We start from the raw sequence: 21525 nt of genomic DNA on the forward strand, positions 1-21525 counted from the left end.
AAATATCTCTCTCAAAAGTTTAACCCATATTTGAGTTTAAAACAAGAAAGGAAATCTCAATTCACCCAAAGAGAAAGGGAAACTTAAGGCTGGAGAGTGGATGGAAGTTAAAGCTGGATGGCCCTTGAGAGATCCATGACCAGCTATTCAGATAAAGAATTAGAATTTGATTTCCCAGCAGGGGCTGGAATTAGAGTTTTTGATAGAGTCAAAAACTGTATTCACTTTAGTAAAGCCTGAGCTAAGAAATGCTATGAACAGGAATTACATAATGTGCTATAAACAGAAATTAAAATTATAAGTTTAATGACCCAGGTACACAGTCCAGAGGATAAGTGCTTAGCAGAATTAGAACGCCCTTTGAAAAATCAGAACCCCAATCCTGTCTTCTGCACGAGGGTGGATATCTTGGACTATCCTTCCAGTGCAGAAATCTAAACTAAAATACTAACAACAAATTCACTTGGAACCAATTTGGTAGTGCTCCTGGCAACAGCAAAACCAAACCCACCCCCACTGCGATACTCATTCCTGAGGATAAATTCAGAATCTAACTGATTAAAGAACACAGTTCCTCCATCAAAAAGCTGAGAATGGAAGAAATTAACTAAACTGTTAAAACAAACAAATTCCACAATGCCAAAGTTGTGAAAATGTTGATGGGAGAAGGGTAGTGAAAACGGTGGAGATGAGAGAGGACAGCTGCTGAGCCGAGACACGGGCTGACTCAGTCTGGGAGCAGCCTCAAAGAGGACAAGGGCTGGAACCATGCTAGAGTATATTAAATGCAGGAAGAAGGTTGTCCCACAGCTTCCCATAGGTAGCTTTTCTAGGGTCCTCAGTTTGAAATCATCTGAGTCTGCTCCAGAGGAGACTAAATGAGTCTCAAATCACAGACAACTCCAAGAGCCTCCAACATCTCATTCAGATGACCACATCTGAAACAAACAAAGCCAGGCTTGCACCCCAGGAATGACAGGCAGACGTCCTGGTCCACATGAATGTGTTTCTTCCTAAGAAGGACTTCCCAAATGCTACTTCTGCCCCTAAAAGTGGAGAAGGGCTTAGTGCCAGCAGATCCTAGGCCTGCCATCCTGTGAATTTGAATGTAGGGCCATACCTGGGTGAAAGAGAGAACAACTACACTGGATGTCAGACCCTAGACACGTGATCAGAAGTCAGGTACAAGTCCAACCACTATCCTTTGGACTACGACCACTCTAGGTGGACACTGGCAAATTGTGGCACACAAGCAAATGAACTTGAATCCAGCCAAGTAGTGCACACACAGAAAGGAAAGAAACTCATTTGGCTTTGGGTGCCTTTTTTTTTTTATAACCATCCATTAAACATCCAATTTTGTGTAAAAGGTTCCAAAATAATCCTCCCAGTAGAATTTCTTCTGGCAAAATCATTCACTGATCTGGATGTGAAAATTTCCCATCATCTTAACTAACACTTTGTGCTTCTGAACGTCGTATGAATCTGAAATCTGAATCTGAAAATGCCTACATGGTAGTACTCCTGCTCCTTGGGGACATTTGAAATTGAAAGGGTCCTAGTATTCTATTCCCAAGCCTAGGATAATGCTAAACAATATGCAATTTCCCTTAGAAAGCACAAGATGAAAATAGGGAGCAATTTACAGCAGTGGTTGCACCCCTGGTTGCTCATTAGAATCACCTGGGGAGATCTGGTACTTTAGAGTAACACTGGCCAATACCACCCATTAACACCCACTTATGCTAATCCAGTGGTTGGCAACATTGACTGCAATTTAGAATCTCCTGCCAGGGAGCTTTAAAAAATGCTGATGCTGGGACTCTACTCTCAGACCAATTAAATCAAAACATCTAGGCTGTGGGGTTGGTGCATGGGTCCATTTTAAAGCTAGCCAGCTAGTCTTCATGTTGAGCCAGGGTTAACAACGACTACTCTAGTCCAGGGCTCCTCCAACTTCAGCGGGCATCAGAATCTCCTGGATAGCTAATTAAAACAAAGGTTTCAGACAAGCAAATCTACAGAGACCAAATGTAGATCAGTGGTTCCCTAGGAGTGGAGGAATGGGGGAATGGGTAAGTGACTGCTAAGGGATATAGGTTTCTTTGTGGGCTAATGAAAATATTCTAAAATTCATGGTGATGGCTGCACAACTCTGAACACATTTAAAGCCATTTAGCTGTAAACTTTAAGTGGGTTAACCGTATATATGTGAATTATATCTCAGTAAAGCAGCTAAACACACACAGAGACATTTTTGCCCATTCCCCCGAGATTCTGACACACTAGGTCTGAAGTGCAGCCCATGGGTTTGTCTTTGTAATGAGCTCCCCATTCAATGTGATGTTGATTCTGCAGGTCCACAGACCATACTGCTCCATCCCATGGAAAGATGCTCATGTTTAATGAGCAGGATAATGTTTCATCATCCAGAACTTTCTCCAGTTCTGGCCATAGAGGACCAGGTGCCATAATGCTTCCAGGGTTGTCTCACAGGAATGAGAGCCAGGATTGCAAAGGCGAGATGTGATGTGAGTCCAGAGCAAGCCTAGATGATGACAGCCGTGGAGCTGGGAAATGTTCTGCAGCTCAATGAAGCCCCTGATGAGGCCCAGAGAGAAGAGGAAAAGAAAAATAGAAAACCATTCACCATTCTTGATTTTCTGCTATGATCTAATTAGGAGGAAACGATAAACACCTAATATGAAAATCCAAATTTACAGAAAGAGGCAAAGCAAGACTTTCCATTTATTGTACAAAGCAATTCATCCCCAGAGGTCCTCTGGAAAACTTAAACTGCTGGATAATGTTTTACTGAATTTTCTCACAGTATTCTAGCAAAGCCAAACTCCAGAGATACAAGATAAACAGAGCCCTAAATTACAAAGTACAGAAATTCTTAGCAAAATGGCAGTAACAATGGGAGGATTTGGAACAAGTGCCTTTTGTAGGAATGCCAATGCCACTAGAAGTTTTGCTTAGCAAACCAGCCCTGGCACAGGGACCAAGGCCAAAAACACGGACTCCTCCATAACCACTTTCGAGACTCTGGGATTCCTTCCCCTGCAGTCACTCACTCCCTAAACACACACCTCAAAAAATCTCAACAGAATTCCTGAGCATTGTTTGCCCTGCAGTTGCTGGTGGGGCCATCACTGTTGCTGCATTTTGAGATATAGCGTATAATGATAGAAAGACTTGAACCCAAAGTAACTTGCACAGTGAATTTATTCAGTATCTCCAAACTGTCTCATCTGCTAAAACGAGGCAAAGTGGACAATGTACATAAACCACATAGTAAACCACATATCCCAGTGCCTGGCATATTCGAATAATAAAATACAATAACAGCAGCCAATATTCATTGAGTGTTTATTATTTATTAAACACTCTTCACAATTAAGTGTCAGTAAACTTTTTCTGAAAGACCAGACAGCAAATATTGTGCGGTTCTTCAGCCATACAGTAACTACACCAACTACTCAGCTCTGTTGTTGCAGTTTGAAAACAGCCATAGACAATCTGTAAACACACAGCATATCTGCCTTTCAATAAAACTTTATTTATAAAAACAAGAGGCAGGCCAGATTTGGCCTATGGTTCATAGTTTGCCAAACTTTGCTCCATGAGACAGGTACTACTATTATCTCCATTTTATAGATGAGAAAACAGAGGCACAAAGGGATCAACTGACTGCCCGAGGTTCCCTCATGAAGTCTGATTACGAAGCACACAGAGTCAACTATTATATCACAGCAGCTTCTATCACCATCATTATTCATAAATTCTCAGTCCAAATCTAGGTTCTGCTCATTCAAAATACGCTGTCCAGCCAGTCAGTTGCCTCAGAGCTGCCTCAGAGGCTGAAAACCAAACTCAAATCCTCCCTCTTCTTCCCCCTCCAACCCCAAACTGATGTTGCTGGTTGGAGTTCTGTCTGCCTCCTCTGAACCCTCAGTGCCCTTACTCTTTGTATCTCTCAAGTCGATCTCTTTTATTTATTAAATACTTTCTCGCCAACCACTTTGGAGGCCAGGATCATCACATCACAGGGGTTCAACTCCCATATGTCAGTGCATCTGTGAACCTGTTGGTAGTAGGTCTACCAGCTGAGACTCTAGGGGCCAGGGCAGAGGAAGGAGATGCCAGAGCCCACACTCACCAGTCCATGGCAGGCACTGAGGGCTGCCGTCCCAACTCTGGTGCCCTGCTGTAGAACCGTGCCACTGAGATGGCAGAGGGGGGCAGAGGAAGCCATCATCTTAACATGGGAGAGGTTCCCATATCTCTTCTCCATGATGTAGCTATTGGAAAGAAATCCTTGATTGACCGTCAAGTTAAAAAACAGGTCCTTCTCCTCGTGAGAAATTCTGTAGTACACCCAGTCCTCTGAGCCATCCAAATCTCTCTTCCTCCTGCTGCTCGTGATGGGATAGTGCAAGCCATATGACAAAAAATGCCCACTGGCATCTACTCGGACTGGACCCACCACGTGGTATTCTGGCAGGCCCTTGATAAAATGCTCTGAAAGAAAAGGAGAAATGGAAGAACAGTGAGGGAGATTGGTAGTAAAGCAAAGCCACTTTCGTTTGGAACTTGAATGCTAGCTTTTTTTTTTTTTGGAAATGGAGTTTTGCTCTTGTTTCCCAGGCTGGAGTGCAATGGCACGATCCGGGCTCACCGCAACCTCCTCCTCACTGGGTTCAAGCAATTCTCCTGCCTCAGCCTCCTGAGTATCTGGGATTACAGGCATGTGCCACAACACCTGGCTAATTTTGTTTTTTTTTTTTTTTTTTTAGTAGAGACAGGATTTCTCCATGTTGCTCAGGTTGGTCTTGAACTCCCGACCTCAGGTGATCCGCCTGCCCTGCCCTTCCAAAGTGCTAGAATTACAGGTGTGAGCTACCATGCCCAGCCACTAGCTTTTTAATTACAAAATCCCACTGTTGACTTGAAGTTTAGAGATCCTTTCCATCACACAAATACTGTTAACATTAAACTCCCAGAACAACTCAAATTTACCTAGTGCTTCCTCCTCAGTGACATGATATCAGGTGTTTTACCAGAGACACATTAAGATGGGAATTAATCCGTGAGGGGTACTGTTAGAAAAGGGGCAAGATCTGAATGAGGAACAGGAATCTTTCAAGTCTAGAGTTCAGAAAGACAAATCACAGAGCTTCACTGTGGATTATAAGGTGCTTCAACACATCAAGAACTTCCTGATAAAGTCAGATTAGAGGGAAAAAAAACACAAAATCATGGAGAACTCATCATATGCACGCTGACAAACCTCATACCAATTACAGCATAAGAGTGTTCCATAATGCAGCAAAGAGTGCATAAAAGAAGCTGGGTTTTAAAAAAGTGTTTACCAAATTAATATGATAAGGAGATATGTCAGGATCTGAGGCATTGGCTCAAAACATAAAAACTGCCACTTTAAAAATGCAAGACTGGAACCCTTGATCCTTCCCCACACAAGAACACATACACATTTTGACCTACTCAAATTTGCCTCCCTACCACTACCTCCTTATTTTGATGTTTGAGAATAACAAAGGATCTACCTAGGAGGGAATTTATCATCACTCTGGATTACACTTCTTCTTTTTTTGTTGTTTTGTTTTGTTTTGTTTTGTATTGTTTTTTGAGACAGATTTTTGCACTTGTTGCCCAGGCTGGAGTGCAATGGCATGATCTCGACTCACCGCAACCTCCGCCTTCCAGGTTCAGGTGATTCTCCTACCTCAGCCTCCTAAGTAGCTGGGATTACAGGTGTGCACCACCATGCCCGGCTAATTTTGTATTTTTCGTAGAGATGGGGTTTCTCCATGTTGGTCAGGCTGGTCTTGAACTCCTGACCTCAGGTGATCCACCCACCTTGGCCTCCCAAAACTATTAACCATTTAGTAAGATAAACTAATATTTTGAAACAAACAAACAAAAAACCTTCTACTTATCACCTCTCAGTTGTAGTTTTGCACTTTGGATCTTGCTTTTACTTTGCTCGTGTAACTTCCCCAACTAGAATGTCTTTTGCATTCTATCAAAATCCTGTTTAAGCATTCAAATCTCAACTCAAATCCTTCCTCTTTATTCTCCTAGTGTCCCTGGCTAAACTTCTCTCTCCTTTCCCTGAACCCTCATGCCCTTACTTTCTGTACCTCCTAGAATGGCTTTATTTTATATTGCCTTTTATTATATGATTTATCCCCAAATCTGCCAGAATCTTGCACATCACAGGTGCTCAGTTCTTATATGTTGATGTATCAGTAAACACTATTGCAGCTGGTTAATTAAAATAACTGGGCTTGATGGGCTACAATTATAAAAGAGTTTTTTTGTTTGTTTGTTTGGTTTTTTTTTTGTTTTTTTTTTTTTTGTTTTTTTTTTTTCCAGGCAACTACCTCCAAACCCTTTGTGGAATCATTCTTCTCTGCCTTGGATGAAATATGGGGCAGAATACAGAGTTTTCACTCTCAGGTACTAACAAATGGTCTCCATTTTTAGGTGTAAAAAGCCCGGACCCATTACTTCCTACTGCAGCAGCTAGGCACAGCAGACCACATGGCAACATGGGCAAATCTTCACAGCAACACTCCACGAAAAACAAGAAATAAAATAAGCTAATGCAGAGCTACTTACATTCATGGAAAATACACACACACTAAAACAATAATACAAAGTTTTCCAGAACACACTGGAACAAGAAATACATATGGAACCCATTAAAATGGTTTTCCATGGGGAAGAATTGGAGTAGGGAGTGGGAACAAAAATGCATAAATATATATAACAAAAAAAGCTTTTTCGCAAATTCATGATACTAGTGTGCCATGAACTGAGGTGTATAACTGACTCAGTCCTCTCTCCTGTCCACTCACTCCCTAAGAAATGTCTGCTCCAATCTGTATTGGAGGACCTTCCAGGTCTAGACCTACCAAAGAGAGAAACTGTGGGTGGGTGAGGCGGATGCAGTCAGCTTCCATAGTATTTCCCTCTGGCTGCTCTTCTCCTCTGCTACTCACAGTGATGCCTCTGGCTCCTCCAGGGCTCGAACAGTGAAGGGAGTTGGGTCAGAAAATATCTTATTCAGCTGGGTATAGTAACGGTGTCATCTAGCAATGGTGCCCTGTATGTAGTCAGTGTCCACATGCTGACTGGCGCCTTCTATTAAGAGAAGCTCTGTGTCCACTGGGAAACCTCTGCTCCCTTCAGGTCCCTCAATGTGGACAATTCCTCCTCCAGCTGGCTGCCCACTGCCTTCCTATCTTCTACCCCTTTACTGAAACCACGTCACCCCTGCAGGGCATCCTCTTTGGCATCTTTTCAAGATGATCCACATCTTGTTGCCTTCCATGAGGTCTAAATCTGGCTCAAAAGAAGCAACCATGATCGCTGACATCCCCTTCACTCCCATCCCACGTCATGAAAATCAGGCCACTCCTGGCCGTGCTTTTGGTCAGCTCTGTCACCAAATGTCATTCCAGGCAGTCTTTTGCCTATCAGTATTTTAAGGCTAAAATGCTAGTGCCCATGCTCCCCAAGCCCATAGCAAACCCTCAAGATCTCTAGCTGTCCCTTCACTTGCCTTGAGTTGGGGCACAGTAGGGGGGATGAATGCCCTGGCACTCTCATCTGTCCTGAAGGAATTCTCTCTCTGAAATCTCTCCACTGGCCTTTAAGCCTCTCCTCACGTGCATACTAGGAGAGTGAAGGAATCAGAATCACACCATCACCCTGCAAGTCCCACACATATGGTCTGAAATTTCTCTTTAAGTGTATGTGGAAAATTAATCTTTTCTTTCTTCTCAGACTTAAGGTCTTGGCAGAAACTGAGACAAAAGAAAGAGTCCCATTTGAATACCCTGTTATACATGCAAGTTTCTGCATCTCCATCAAAACAGAAAAATAAGCATCTTTTCTAGCAGATTATTTTTTCCAAAAGCCAGACTGACTGATTTAAAGGGAGCACGAACGAAAAGCAATCACATTTTAAAACATGAATTCTGAATAAAATGTTATACTCTTCCAAGTCAAATGAGCTATAACCTATTGAAAAACTCTGAAAAGAGTTGAAAATATCTTATTTGTTATACTTAGAAAACAACTATAATAAAATTTAGGTTGTCATGAAACAGAAACCAACAAGTGTGATTCTAAATCAATCTTACATTATTAAAAAGTTACTCTAAATTTTTGTGTGAGATGATATATCAAAATAATTGTGGTAATTTTTCAGAAATATGGAAACAATAGGATATAATAAAGGGGCAATAAATGTATAATTGCATCTCTACTATAATTGCAATTGTGAGATATATTAATATATATGCATATGAACAAAGCCTTTGAAATAATGGGTAAGAGTACATATTTTTATGATGATGAGATTTGGGGTGTGGTTTTTCCTTTTAAAATTTGTAGTTCCTCCGGGAGGCCGAGTTTACGGTGAGCCGAGATCGTGCCACTGCACTCCAGCCTGGGCAACAGAGTAAGACTCCGTCTCAAAATAAAAAATAAAAAATAATAAAAAAAAATTGTAGTTCCTGTGTTGCTTTTCCCAATTAAAAATAAATAGGTAAGAAGGATTGAATGGGAGAGTGCTGTGCTGGCTTATGACAGAACTATAGAGAATATCCAGTAGACAAGATAAGTAAGGCATGCCAGTGCCCCATGATACAAGGCAGTCTGACAATGATCACTCCCGATGCCCTGCTCACTGTGCCCATTACAGCTGGCTGCATCCTGAGGGAAGAATTCACCTTGGAAGAGGCATCCCTTGACTGAGACTGCTGGAGATGGGGAGGGGGCAGCTAGAGTAGAGCTCGAGGTCTTCTCAGGCAATAGGAAAGCAAAATGAGTTTGGAGTGACAGATCAACAGGAGTGTTAGCAGGAGGCAAGGATGTGAGAAAAAGCAGGCCAGGGTGGAGGCAGCCTTAAATGGCAGGCTTGGTATTCTGCCATCCAGGCCATCCAGCAGAGAAGCAATAGTCCCAGATCTGAGTTAGAAGAACTGCAACGGGAAGAGTGTGGCGGAAGCAAACTTAATCTAGGAGTTATCTCAATTTATCCAGAAAATAACAATTTTTCTCATAAATTTTCTGACTTAAAATATCCCTTATAGAAACTGCCTCTGAAGATACATCTCACAGATTTAAACATGATTTTTGAAAGTATAAAGTGAAAGACTAAAGTTTGCCTATGCCCTAGCACCTATTGCCCAATAAATAAAAGAGCAAACAAATTTATAAATTTTGACCCAGTTGCTTTTGATCTAATGAATTTTTAAGAGAGCCAATTTAAGTTGGCTGTAGAATAATATGATAATAATTATAGTAAGTGTTTCATGAGCACTTGCTATGAGCCAGCTACCATAAGTCTTTCCTCCTTCAATACTCACAACAACCCTGTGATAGAGATTCAGTTGTTATCCCCATTTCATAGATAAGGAAACCGAATGTAGGAAGTCACTATGCCACGTTATATAACATTCCTTGGATTGAAACGCTGTGCCTCCTATTTCAAAACCATGCTCTAGCCACCACACTTCATTAGTAAATAAAGAAAAGCAGCTGCTCTTGGCAAAGAGTATAGCAGGGTTAGAGGTGATAACACTGCTCCCAGGGACGGTGATCTGACCAGACAAGAAGTGCTTCACCTCTTTACACCTCAATTTGCTTAGCAATCAATGGACTTAGTAATTGCCTCTTTGTTGGGCAAAGTGATGAGGGATAAGATCGGTTTTCCCTCCTGATCTAATTGCATAGGAGGCAGCTAAGCCATGGCAGCCCATAGGTGTGGATGGAAATCGGGGGTCACTTACAAAGTGTGGTTTGTGTTGGTGACCCAAGCTCAGCTACCTCAACTATACAATGGGCATAATAATAATAGCATCTACCTCCTAGGCTGGGAGTGAGGCTCCAATGTATTAATATATTTAATAGATTTAAAATTGTGCTTGACAAATAACATTCATTAGCTAAACATTAGCATTGTTGGTTTTAAAGGTAGGAACTTGGCTACCCGGGATCACTGTGGACATAAACATGTGTAACCTCCAAGCAGAGACAGGAGAGAAGCCCACACTCACCATAGCCTCCTCTCCGCAAGCTAAGATTAGTTTGGCAGATTTGTTAGCTATAATCTTGGCCAATGAAAGCAGAACTCAGAGGAGATATGACAGCGATGGAGAAATAGGTGTCAAGAAATAATAATAGCTCCTAATTTTTATCATTTCTATGGTCAAGTACTACATTAAGAGTATGCCGGCTTGGTCTTATCTAATCCTCACAGTTCTCTGAGTAAGCATTATTAACTGTATCCCTCATCTGGGACTATACTTCCATCTCCGTAAAGTGACAACAGTGAGGGATGAGGATTTTTTCCTGGGCAATCGGATCCCAGAGCACACACTCCTAAGCTCTGCCCTCACTGTGTGCATCTCCAGGGTCTGTCACCTAGCACAGATGTCAAGGCGGGTTGTCAATAAGGTGTGGGGTTGGGAGGGCCAGAGGCTGAGATACATGAAAATTACATCACAGTTTATACAAGGGTTTGTAGAAATATTATAAGCTCCAAATACTTTGATTTGCCTTGTTTAAAATTATATTTAAGGCCTCAGTCCACAAGTTTCAATGGTACTTCATGAGAAATTCAAGTAAAGGCTACTGGCACAAGCACTTTTGAAAACACAAAACAAGGCATCTTTTTCCCTCAGCTTAGAAAGGACAGAGGTAAGAGAATATTTACCTACTAGTTGTATACAGTTTAGGCTCAGTCTATAGTAGTTATTCTTTTTTTTTTTTTGAGACAGAGTCCTGCTCTGTTGCCCAGGCTGGCATGATCTTGGCGGCCCACTGCAACCTCTGCCTCCAGGGTTAAAGAGATTTTCCTGCCTCAGCCTCCTCAGTAGTTGGGACTACAGGCATGCACCACCACGCCCGGCTGATTTTTGTATTTTTAGTAGAGATGGGGTTTCACTGTGTTGGCCACGCTGGTCTCGAATTCCTGACCTCAGGTTATCCACGCACCTCGGCCTCCCAAAGTGCTGGGATTACAGGCATGAGCCACCACGCCGGCCTATTCTTTTTTCTTTTTAATGGAACGCTTCACAGATTTGCATGTCATCCTTGAGCAGGGGCCACGCTAATCTTCTCTGTATCGGTCCAATATTAGTATATGTGCTTCCAAAGCGAGCATTATCTGTACTTATTCTTTATATTTATTTCTATCTTAGAGACAATTGAATTTCTCAGATCCCTTTCTAAAAAACAAGATTATGAAATTCCTGTAATAGAGGTTTATTTTCATAATTATCTTCCATGTAAGATAACTGTAACCTTGCAACGCTATTTTTATTATAGAAATTTACACATGTTGGAATGTTGTGAAGAACTGTGTTGGGCTCCTCAAAATTGTAAAGTATGCCACAGAAGGTTGGATTTGCTCATAAACTTTATGATAACTAATGTGCTAACTGTATAGATTATTATAATCAACACAAAATATCAAATCTGTGAACTCTCTTTTTACATTAAGAAAATAGCTGAAATCCTTTCCTCCTTGCAGAATTTTTTTAATAGAATACATAAATAATTAAAACTCTTATCTGAAAACACTGCAACATTCCCTCTGTTTCTTGCACAAGCCTGGAGTTCATCTCTAATATGGAATAAAGTGACTGTCCTGTTGATTTCACAGAGATGTCAGGAGCAAAAGAGGTCATGGAACAGACTGGCGCTTTGTAAACAGCATAGGGGTAAACAAACCTAAGGGGATATGATTGGCTGTAGAAGACACGCAGCATGTTGTGTGCAAGATTAATATTTCCCGTTGTTCTGATACTTGGTTGTGAACCAAGAAATCCTGTGTAAGTCACAGCACATTCCTATATCACAACTGAGCAATGTGGAAAGAATACTGGGCAGTTAGTCAAATAGCCTGTTTCTATGTTTCTAGTCCCAGAAAGGACTGGATTTATCTCCATACTCCTTCCAACGACTAAAATCCTGACTTAGCCCAACTCTTAGAACTAGAAGGAACCTAAAAGGTAATGTAGTGTCTGAATCTGTCTCCAAATGTGGAACCCTGTGCAATTCCCTTTACCCTCCTCGTGAAGGGGCATTTATTAGGTGCTCAATCATATATGTTGACTAACTGATGCCCTAGACCTCCCATTCCTTATCCATAAAAGTAAAAATGGGGGCGAGGCATGATGGCTCATTCCTGTAATCGCAGCATTTGGGGAGGCTGAAGTGGGAGAATTGCTTAAGGCCAGGAGTTCAAGATCAGTCTGGACAACATAGCTAGACCTCATCTCTATTAAAAAAAAAATTAAATATTTCAAAAATAAGAATGGGTGAGATGATCCTGAAGTAATTTGCAAGTTTAAACGTTCAGGATTTGAATGCATTCAAAAATGCTATCAAAGTGGAAATGGAAGTCTAAGGAGATTGGTTATTTGTGAGGCTGTAGGTAGGTCATTTGGAGGGAAAAACCCAGGCCATCCTAATCCCAGATAGCCTTAGAATTTCATTCTCTACTGGTTTGCCCTCATCCATCCCTTCCTCCCTCTTTGTGACTTTCCTTCTTAATTCTAAATGTAAGTCTGCTTAGAAATTTCTCCTTTGCACCAAATGTGGATTATTTGTAAATCCACTAGGGAATTGATTGTGGTTGGTGAAATGCTTTTAAAAACTGAAATTATTGGCTGGGTACAGTAGTTCACACCTGTAATCCCAGCACTTTAAGAGGCCAAGGTGGGCAGATCACCTGAGGTCAGGAGTTGGAGACAGCCTGGCCAACATGGTGAAACCTCGTCTGTACTAAAAATACAAAAATTAGCCGGGCATGGTGGCACACGTCTGTAATCCCAGGTACTTGGTTGGCTGAGGCAGGAGAATCACTTGAACCCGGGAGGCAGAGGTTGCAGTGAGCTGAGATTGCACCACCGCACTCCAGCCTGAGAGACAGAGCAAGACTCAGCCTCGAAAAACAAAAACCTCTAATTATTTTTAAACCTAAATAAATATATATATCACCAATAAGCTTGGAGCACTTTATAGGTTTTTTGAACAGTGGATACTCTCAGCACATAGCTCTAGATAGAGGTGACTAGGGAAAATAATCATATCTCACTTTCCAGAGAGCAAAAACCATGGCCCCGTGGTGTCTGCTTCACACCAAGCTGAATTCCCTTACAAAGAAGATGTGGAGCAGAGCTGAAAACCAACCCAGGAGAATGTGTGTCTTTGAACGAAATCATCTCCAAATGCCCTGGGAAGTGCTTGCAGGCTTTGTTTGTGCTGCCCCAGAAGGGAGACTTTTCACAAAGGAACTGTTTTTCAAAGAACAACAAGCCCTGCTATTTTAAACTTGGGGGTGGGAGATTGTATCTGGACCGTTTACACAAGTGAGTGCTGGCTGACTGACATCTAACCCCAGTGTTTGCTGGCTCCAGCTTTCCAAGTAAAGCAAAGAGAGGGACTTGCTTCTGATACGTCTTGAAGCCACAGCAGATGAGTTGTCCAGCAATATTTGAATTTTACAACATGAGCAGAAAACCCTGCTTAGAAATCCTAAACAAGGACAGGCTGGTGATGTTTATCACCCGAGTGGCCTTGGGAATTAAAGGGATGTCAGAAAGTCATGGAGGACACTTCCCGAGGCTTCAGCACAGTCAGCAAACACAGGACTTAGTGCATGCTAACCCAGTGCTCTGTGTGCGTGTGCATGCGTGTGGGTGCATATGCGTGTGTGTGTGCGTGTGTGTCCCTATTATTGCTACAGGACAGTGCTGCATGATTCTAAGAGTCAGACTACCTGAGCTGAAAACTCTGCTCTACATTAGCTGGCCTCATAAGCTCTCCAAGCTGCAGCATCCTCATCTGTACAGCAGGGACAGCAACACTGGTACCTGCACCCTGGAAGGCTATTGCCAGTGATCGGATGGGCTGACACAGAGTGCCACGCGGGCCATTGCTGCTGCTAGGACTGTTTACCCCCAGAGGTACAATGAACCCCCCACCAAACATGAAGGTGCCTCTGACCCTTCCAAGTCCAATAAACTGCTGACTGTTAGGCTTAAAAGAATAAAACAACAACAACAAATTGTCCACCAGAACGCTTCCAATGCTTCCTACAATAACATGAGTTCAGAAATTCATAAAGAGAAGCAGCCAGCTGTGGTCAGTGAGACAGGACAGGAAAAAGTGAGCCCTTATGGAGGTATAGTTCCCCCAAAAGGACTATTCTTTCAAAAATACAACCCTAAATCTTTCCAGGAAACCAAAACACAGCCAAGCCTGCTCAGTAGGGGGGAAGAATCACATTTCCCCTTTCCTGACCAGAGGTTTAAAACTAACTAGAAACACTGCAATGACGGCCAGTAGCCAGTTAGCACTTAAAAAAAAAATTTTCCATGTTTAGAGTCTGAAAAATAGGGGATCAAAACAGTACAGCATTCAAAGAGGAGACAAAAGAGAAAAAGTTACCAGCTACCTCTTGGGTCTTTCAAAGACTGCAGTGTCATCCCTGTAAAAGAGTGAGGTACTCACCTTTCTATAAGAATGAAGGACTCATCACCTTAAGCACTGAATTCTGAGAAAGCCTAGGCTCCTGAGGTCCCAGCCCAGATTTCCTTACAACGCAGCCAAATGGCTTTTCAGAGTTCAGTTCTGCCGGGTGGGGGAAGGGAAAGGGGAGCAACAAAATTCCCGCAAGTCTTACCACCACTGTTTTAAAAAGAAATAAAGAAGAGTCACTAACCTTGCCTCCTGTCCGGGAAGCGAACCGGGCCTGGCTGAGGCTGTCTCCCATAGCAAAGCGCCCCAAAGTTAAGGAGCTGAGCCACCACGGAAAGGTTTGCAAGCCAGCTCCTCTGGGCACATGGCATGATTCAGATGTTGAGGAGAAGAAAAGTCAAAAAAGTTTTAGCCCTCAGCTCCAGAAATAAAGCGCTCGCCTGTGGCCCAGCAGGAAGATGCAGGGGTGCATGGTCAGGCGCGAGAAGGCAGCGACTGCAAAGCTGCCCGCGATCTCCCTGTGCTTTTTTAAGCAGAAAGGAGCTAGACACCTTTTTCCCCTCCCTCCTCCTAAAAGGGGAGTGATTCAGCTGACAGTGTCCGCTTTCGGCGGGGTGTGGAATGGGCCAGAGCGGGAGGGCGCAGCCCACCCCGGTCCCCACCCCTCCGCCTCCCGCATGCCCCGCGGCCTCGCAGCCCGCCCGCTCGGTGCATCTTCCTCCCGGACTCCCACCCCCGCGCTCCTCCGGCCCCGCCCCGAACGCCAGGCCCAGCTGGCCGAGCCGGCCAAATAGGGGAGACCCGGGAGAGCCGCCCTGGGAGGCACTGGAGGAAGCTGCGAGTGAGAGGCCCCCAGGCCAGCCCCCCGGCGTGCTTAAATACAAGCTCAAAATGAGGAGAACAGAGTTGAGGCAGAGGGGGGCCCCACTCCCTCCATCCTTCCGCGCTCAGCGCTGCCCCCTCCCCTGCTGTTCTCCTCCAAGTTCCTGAACTTTTCCCAACATCGCTCTATCAAGACTCCTCACCCACTCGGACCGCTCTGGGATTCTCTTCCACTGGAAAAACTAATAGGCGATTTTTCTCTTTGCCAAGTCACACAAAGGGAAATGGGCTGCGCTAATCTGCTAATGTGACCTCAGACAAGCCCCCTCAGCTGTGCAATGAGGTGACTGCTGCAAATGCCTGTGGGCCCCTCTGAGTCTGCAGATCTCTGTGCGGCTCTTCTGATTCTAGAACCCCATCTTTCCTAGCCCACCTCCATTCACTCAAAAGGAAACCAGGAATTAAGTCAACCCAGGAAGGTGTTAAGGTATCTCCCCAGTTTCCCTGAACTGGCTACCCTGGAGAGGGCGTCCATTCATTCAGAGGCTCAAGCTTTTACATCGGTCAGAGAATGCCACAATCCAGGACGCTTGCCAGGCATCTTGAGAATTTACTGGGCTAATCCAGCCAAGATTTTTCACCTCTGAGCTGAAACAGGCCTCCTTACTCCATTCAGGAAGAATTCGGCCCCCAATATTGACTTTTCCCTGGCTGCCAGCCAACCACATGTGTTAATCAAGAGTTCTGGGATACCAGCTTACTCAACCTTGTATAGGGACAGAGCCTCCAAGGCAAACTCAGTGGTCTGAAAGCAAGGTGGTCCTCTCAGATGTGGAACACATGGGCACCAAGACTTTGAGAGGTATATGCTAGTTTCCTATTTTTGGTGTTACAAGTTACCATAAATTCAGTGGCTTGAAACAACTCAAATTTCTTATGTGACAGTTCTGATCTGAAACTGGTCTCACTGGGCTAAAATCAAGGAGTTAGCACAGCTGCATTCATTTCTGAAGACTCTAGGGGAGAATCTGTTGTCTTGCCTTTTCCAACTTCTAGAGGCTGCCTGAATTCCTCAGCTCATGGCCCTCTTCCCCCATCAAAGCTAGCAATGGCCCTTTGAGTCTTTCTCACATCACATCACTCTTCTTCCTCCCTTTTCCACTTATAAGGACCCTTGCGATTACATTAGACTCATCCTGGTTAACCAGGACACTCTCCTAATCAGCTGATTAGCAACCTTAATTCCATCTGCAACCTTAAATCCCCTTTACGTGTAACAGAACATGTTTTGTTGTCACAAGCAAGTAAAAGAACTACTCTGAGCCTTTTTTCTGTTACGTAAACATTAGGAAGCAGGATCACAACTGGAGTTAAAAGACATTCAGATAACACAGGCATGATGACCTGCATTTGCAAGGGCATTGAAGAACAACTTTGGGCTAGAATTCTTTTTGCTTCTTTTCTTTTCTTCCTCTTCCCCTTCTTCTTTGCTTCCCTTCACCCTTTCCTTGTTTCTCTCTCCTCCTTGTACTCTTCTGTCACTCTTCTTCTTCCACCTTTTTTTCTCCTGCTGCTCCTTTTAATAGCAAGCAAGATCTTGTCCAAAGGGCAAGATCACTCCTAGCTCCCAGGTCCTGGAGAAGAGATTTGTCTCTCAGGCAGAAACCTGAAGAACTCTGGAGAACTGCTGAGTTCCACCAATATCAGGGATGATACACTGAACACTCTGGCTTCACAGTTTAGCCTCTTCAACTCTAATGGCATTTCCCTTATTCTTTCTCCCATCTACTCTCAAGACCATAACCAGGAATATCTATTATCCATAAGTCAACCAAGACTGAAATATTAAAATTATAAAATCCCACCAACACTTTGTATTCTGCCAGCCCTTCCAAACCTTTATACCCAGTACCTCGGATCTTCAGCCTAGTAGGAACTTCTAGTTCCTTGATCTCCCCATCTTTGGTTTTCTAATAATCAGCATCTCTCTGGACTCACCACCTTTTTTGCCCAGTCATACCCTTTGATCCACCTCCTTAAACCAGTACATTCAACATCTCATATCTTCCTCATCAAAATCTAACTCTGTTTTACCCTAGCTGCTGATTTTCTCTGCTCTCTGTTTCCAAGTGCTGTTGAAAAAACTCACATAATTGCATCTAATTGTGCAACTATCAATTCATGTCTCCAACTTTAGCACGTTCTCAACATGACTTAGCACAAATATACATTCTGCTACTATTCTAACGTTCCTCCTACTCTTTCCAGAATTTACAAAAATCTCTCCAAAGCTTGGAGTTACCTCAGCGTAGAGAGACTTAATCCTCCTCAACTTTGCTTCTGCTTAATGAGAAAAGGTAACAAATCCCCTTGGTGACCAAGGTTGGTAGCAATAAAAAAGCCAACTACCTCTCCTGCCCACTGTAGATAGCAGAACTGTGAATCACTGCATAGTATCCAAACTACCTCTGAGCTTATACAAACATGCTGCCCTTGAGGAAACACTACAAAACCATGCAAGATTCCAGAGTTGAATGATAGCTAAGAATAGCAAGCATTTATTACATGCTGACTATATGCTTGGCTCTGTGCTAAAGACTATATGGGTATTGCTTTACTTAAACTTCATAAAAAACTTATTATGTGGGTACCATTAGTATCTTCATTTTATAGATGAGGAAACAGACACTGAAAGGTTAAGTAACTTGCCTAGGATTAAGTGGCTGTGAAAGTAAAATCAGGATGAAGCACTAAAGTTCAGAGAAGTTAAAAGATGTAGCAAAACCACTAAGTCAATTCAAATATAGGTCTGTTTTACTTCAGGCCCCTAGTAATGTCCTCATCCACAAAGAGTGAAGAGGATTAGAACACTGACATATAGACATCATCAGAATGCCTTGGGTGGTAGTTTAGTTCATTATAGTATTTTTCCATGTAAAAATGCAATTTGTGACCCAAGATCTAAGATACCTCACAAAGAGCTCCCTCTGTTTCATTAGCAAATAAGGCATAAAAAATGTTCATACTTTCCTAATAAACCGTTAGGATCACAAGGGATGGCTGAAGTTCAAGGAAAATTAGCTTAATGCATCTTTCGGAGCTGTCATTAGCATTGGAAAGACAAAAAATAAATTGACAGTGGCCCAAAAAACCCTGAGTTGGACCTAAGAATCACAAATGAATATGCCACAAAAAGAGACTTTACATCTGTTAATTCTGCCTAAACACCACAATCATCATCTCACAGCAATAATCATTGTGTTGAACATTACAGTTTTTAAGGTGTTTCTCCCAAGCAGGTCAAAGGGTAGAAGGGAGAAAAATCTTCATCTGACGTTTTCAAGAGTAGTTAGACCTTAATTCCACCTGAAACTCAAAAAGTAGTGACTTCAAACATCATATTTAAATACTGTTGCCACATGTATTATTTTCTTTTAAATCTTTCTGCAACCAGATCTCACAAGAATTCTCTCAAGTTACTGAGACCACGAAAGTCTCTTTTTTTTAACTCCACTTCCAACTTTGCTGTAAGTTTGAGATTGCTTCTAAATTTTATTAAACTATCAAATGTCTTAGTCTGTTCTCATTCTTTATAACAATTGAAAGCTTGGTAGAGATGCTGTAGAATTTTTTGGAAATTAGGGAGGCCTATAATGACACATTTATCTATTATATTCTGGAACTTAGCCAACTAAATGCCAATGTATGGTAGTTTTTGGTGCAACTGGGCAAAAGTGTCCAAGCTGATAGCTGTGGCTCTTACCATTATCATACTGGTGTTATATTGGTCCTGAACCACATGGACACTATCCCTTTTCTTTCATTCAACCTTAAAGATTAAATCTGAGTTGAAGAATAGCGTGCCCATTTTTTCCCATAGACAGGAAGAAATTAAGGATGAAATGTATCAGGGACAATTTCAGTACTACCCATTTAGCAAAAAGAAAATACTCTATTTATTCAACAAATATTATTGACTGTCTACTATGTCTAGGCACTGGGAATGGAGCAGTGAATAAAATAGAGTCTCTTTTCTCATACATGCATGCATACACTCTAGTGTGAGCTTGTGGGAGGTAGAAAATAAGCAAGTAAATATAGAATATGTGCTACAGTGATAAATGCAATGGATAACAATAAGCAGGCTAAGGAGAACAGGGAGTGATTGAGGGGGGTAGGTTACAATTTTATATGAGGGGGTCAAGAGTGGTCTCTCTAATAAGATGATATTAGCAGCAACCTGAAGCAAGTAAGAACCTGAGCAAAATAGATATCTAGGAGAAGAATATTCCAGGCTGAGAAAACAGTAATAGAAAAGACCTTCCATTGGGAATATGTAGAAACATGCTTAGAGAGCCCAAGAAAAGCAAGGAGTTTGGCATGGCTGGAGTGTGTGGACAAGAGTAGAATGATGGTAGAAGTGGGGAGGTTGTGTATGTTCTTAGAGACCATAGTGAGAACTCTGAAACCCTGAGGAAGTTAAGAAGCACTGGGGATTCTGAATAGAGGAGTGACAAGAACTGACTTAGGAGTTAAAAGGATCTCTTTGGGTGCTGGGTTGAGAATGACTGCAGAGAGATAAACGCAGATGCACAGAGAGCAGTTAGGAGGTTGTTGGATTAACCCAAGTAAGAGGAAATGGTGGATTAGATCAAGTGGTAGCAAAAGACAGGGAGAATTAATCAGATTCTGGATTTATTCTGAAGGTAGACCCAACAGGATTTTCTGATTATTTGGATGTGTGGCACGAGGGAAAGCAAGAAATCACACATGACTAAAAGGTTTAGCATTGCCAGTAATTAAGATGGGGAAGATGGGAGGTTTGAGACATGTTTAGATGTCTCTTAGATATCCAAATGGAAATGTCAAGTAGATTGTTGGATATACGAGACTGAGTTTCACATAGAAGTCCAGGTTGGAAGTATCCATTTGGAAGTCATAGTAGTTACATGGATGAGAGTACCTGTGAGTGAATTCAGTAGACAAGAAAGTAGACATGGGGACTAAACTCTGAGGTACTGCAATATTTAGAATTACAGGAAATAAAGAGAAATCACTAAAGACCAAGGAGTGAGCAATGAGGCAAGAGGAGACCCAAGACAGCATATTATCTTTGAAATCAAGTGAGAAAGGAGCCGTTATTCAATAGCTCAAACTGGAGTAAGAGCTGGAAAGGAGTCCTGGCTCTTCATACTAAGCTGCATGGAAGACAAAAATGGAAGAGTGACACCAAAGACTGAGTCTGATCAGTTAAGAAAAATAACTCCACATACCAATAAATGCAGTGTGATCGACGTCCTTGAAATCTGTCCAGATTAGAAATTCCCTCATGGAGAGTGTTGTCAGGAAGAGATGAGTGTACCAAGGAACATCCACAGTCCTAGTTTACCCCATTCTTTATGTTCTCTTAACTCACTGAGTTCAACCAGAAGCCTAAGAGAGCCTGGAGTGTGCCTCTCCTACTCAGAGCGGGAGACCAGCTGAGGGTCAGGGAGTTCTACTGTGATCTGAGAGGGCCACTGCCTCTATTTTTCACTGCTCTTTGGTATCCTCCTGGGATCACCGAGAGGAAGACATCAGCTGTGCCCTCAAGAAAGTTTGAAGTGAGTAAATGAGATTAGTTCAGGTAGCAGTAACAATATACAGTCATGTGTCACTTAATGGAGATGCTCTATGTAAAATGTGTCTGTAAGTTATTTTCATCATTGACAATGATGAAGTCACCTAACAACTTATAGAAACCTAGATGGTATAGTCTACTGCACACCTGGGATACATGATATGAACTATGACTCTTAGTCTACAAACCTATATAGCATGTTACTGTACTGAATACTGTAAGCAATTGTAACACAATGGGAAGTATTTGTGTATCTGAACATATCTAAATATAGAAAAAGTACAGTTAAAATACAGTATAAAAGATAGAATGTGGCACACCATTATAGAGCAACTCCATTATAATCTAAGGAGACCAGTCATATATGCAGTCCATTGTTGACCAAGTTGTCGTTATCAGTGAATAACTGTATCATACTGGTACCCACTCTTTTTTTTCAGCTTCATTGAGGTATAATTTAACATAGGATAAGCCGAACATATTTAAAGTGCACACTTTTATAAATATTGAGATGAATATACCTGTTAAATAATCATCACAATAAATTTTGACAT

At 42.3% G+C, this 21525-nt stretch overlaps 1 protein-coding gene and 1 pseudogene across 4 annotated transcripts in view, besides 2 other annotated features; both read right to left on the reverse strand.

Moving 5' to 3' along the window:
* Window positions 1-15034, reverse strand: part of ADAMTS12 (ADAM metallopeptidase with thrombospondin type 1 motif 12) — a 368456-nt gene extending 353422 nt beyond the window's left edge. For all 4 annotated transcript variants that reach the window (NM_001324512.2, NM_030955.4, XM_017009905.2 and 1 more), the window contains exons 1-2: window positions 14774-15034; window positions 4163-4524 (exon numbers count right to left, since the gene is read on the reverse strand). In NM_001324512.2, coding sequence (NP_001311441.1) covers window positions 4163-4524; window positions 14774-14900 — 489 coding nt within the window. In that variant the 5' untranslated portion in view covers window positions 14901-15034. The remainder of the gene's footprint in view (window positions 1-4162; window positions 4525-14773) is intronic.
* Window positions 11100-11206, reverse strand: RNU6-923P (RNA, U6 small nuclear 923, pseudogene; annotated as a pseudogene).
* Window positions 14316-14817: an enhancer, noted in NCBI's record as "H3K27ac hESC enhancer chr5:33891377-33891878 (GRCh37/hg19 assembly coordinates)". NCBI's record gives its function as "activates a minimal SCP1, AML or CMV promoter by ChIP-STARR-seq in naive H9 embryonic stem cells {active_cell/tissue: H9 hESC(naive)}" and the evidence as "EXISTENCE:reporter gene assay evidence [ECO:0000049][PMID:30033119]".
* Window positions 14818-15317: an enhancer, noted in NCBI's record as "H3K27ac hESC enhancer chr5:33891879-33892378 (GRCh37/hg19 assembly coordinates)". NCBI's record gives its function as "activates a minimal SCP1, AML or CMV promoter by ChIP-STARR-seq in naive H9 embryonic stem cells {active_cell/tissue: H9 hESC(naive)}" and the evidence as "EXISTENCE:reporter gene assay evidence [ECO:0000049][PMID:30033119]".

Source organism: Homo sapiens, chromosome 5, assembly GCF_000001405.40.
Source record: "Homo sapiens chromosome 5, GRCh38.p14 Primary Assembly".
Lineage (NCBI taxonomy): Eukaryota > Metazoa > Chordata > Mammalia > Primates > Hominidae > Homo > Homo sapiens.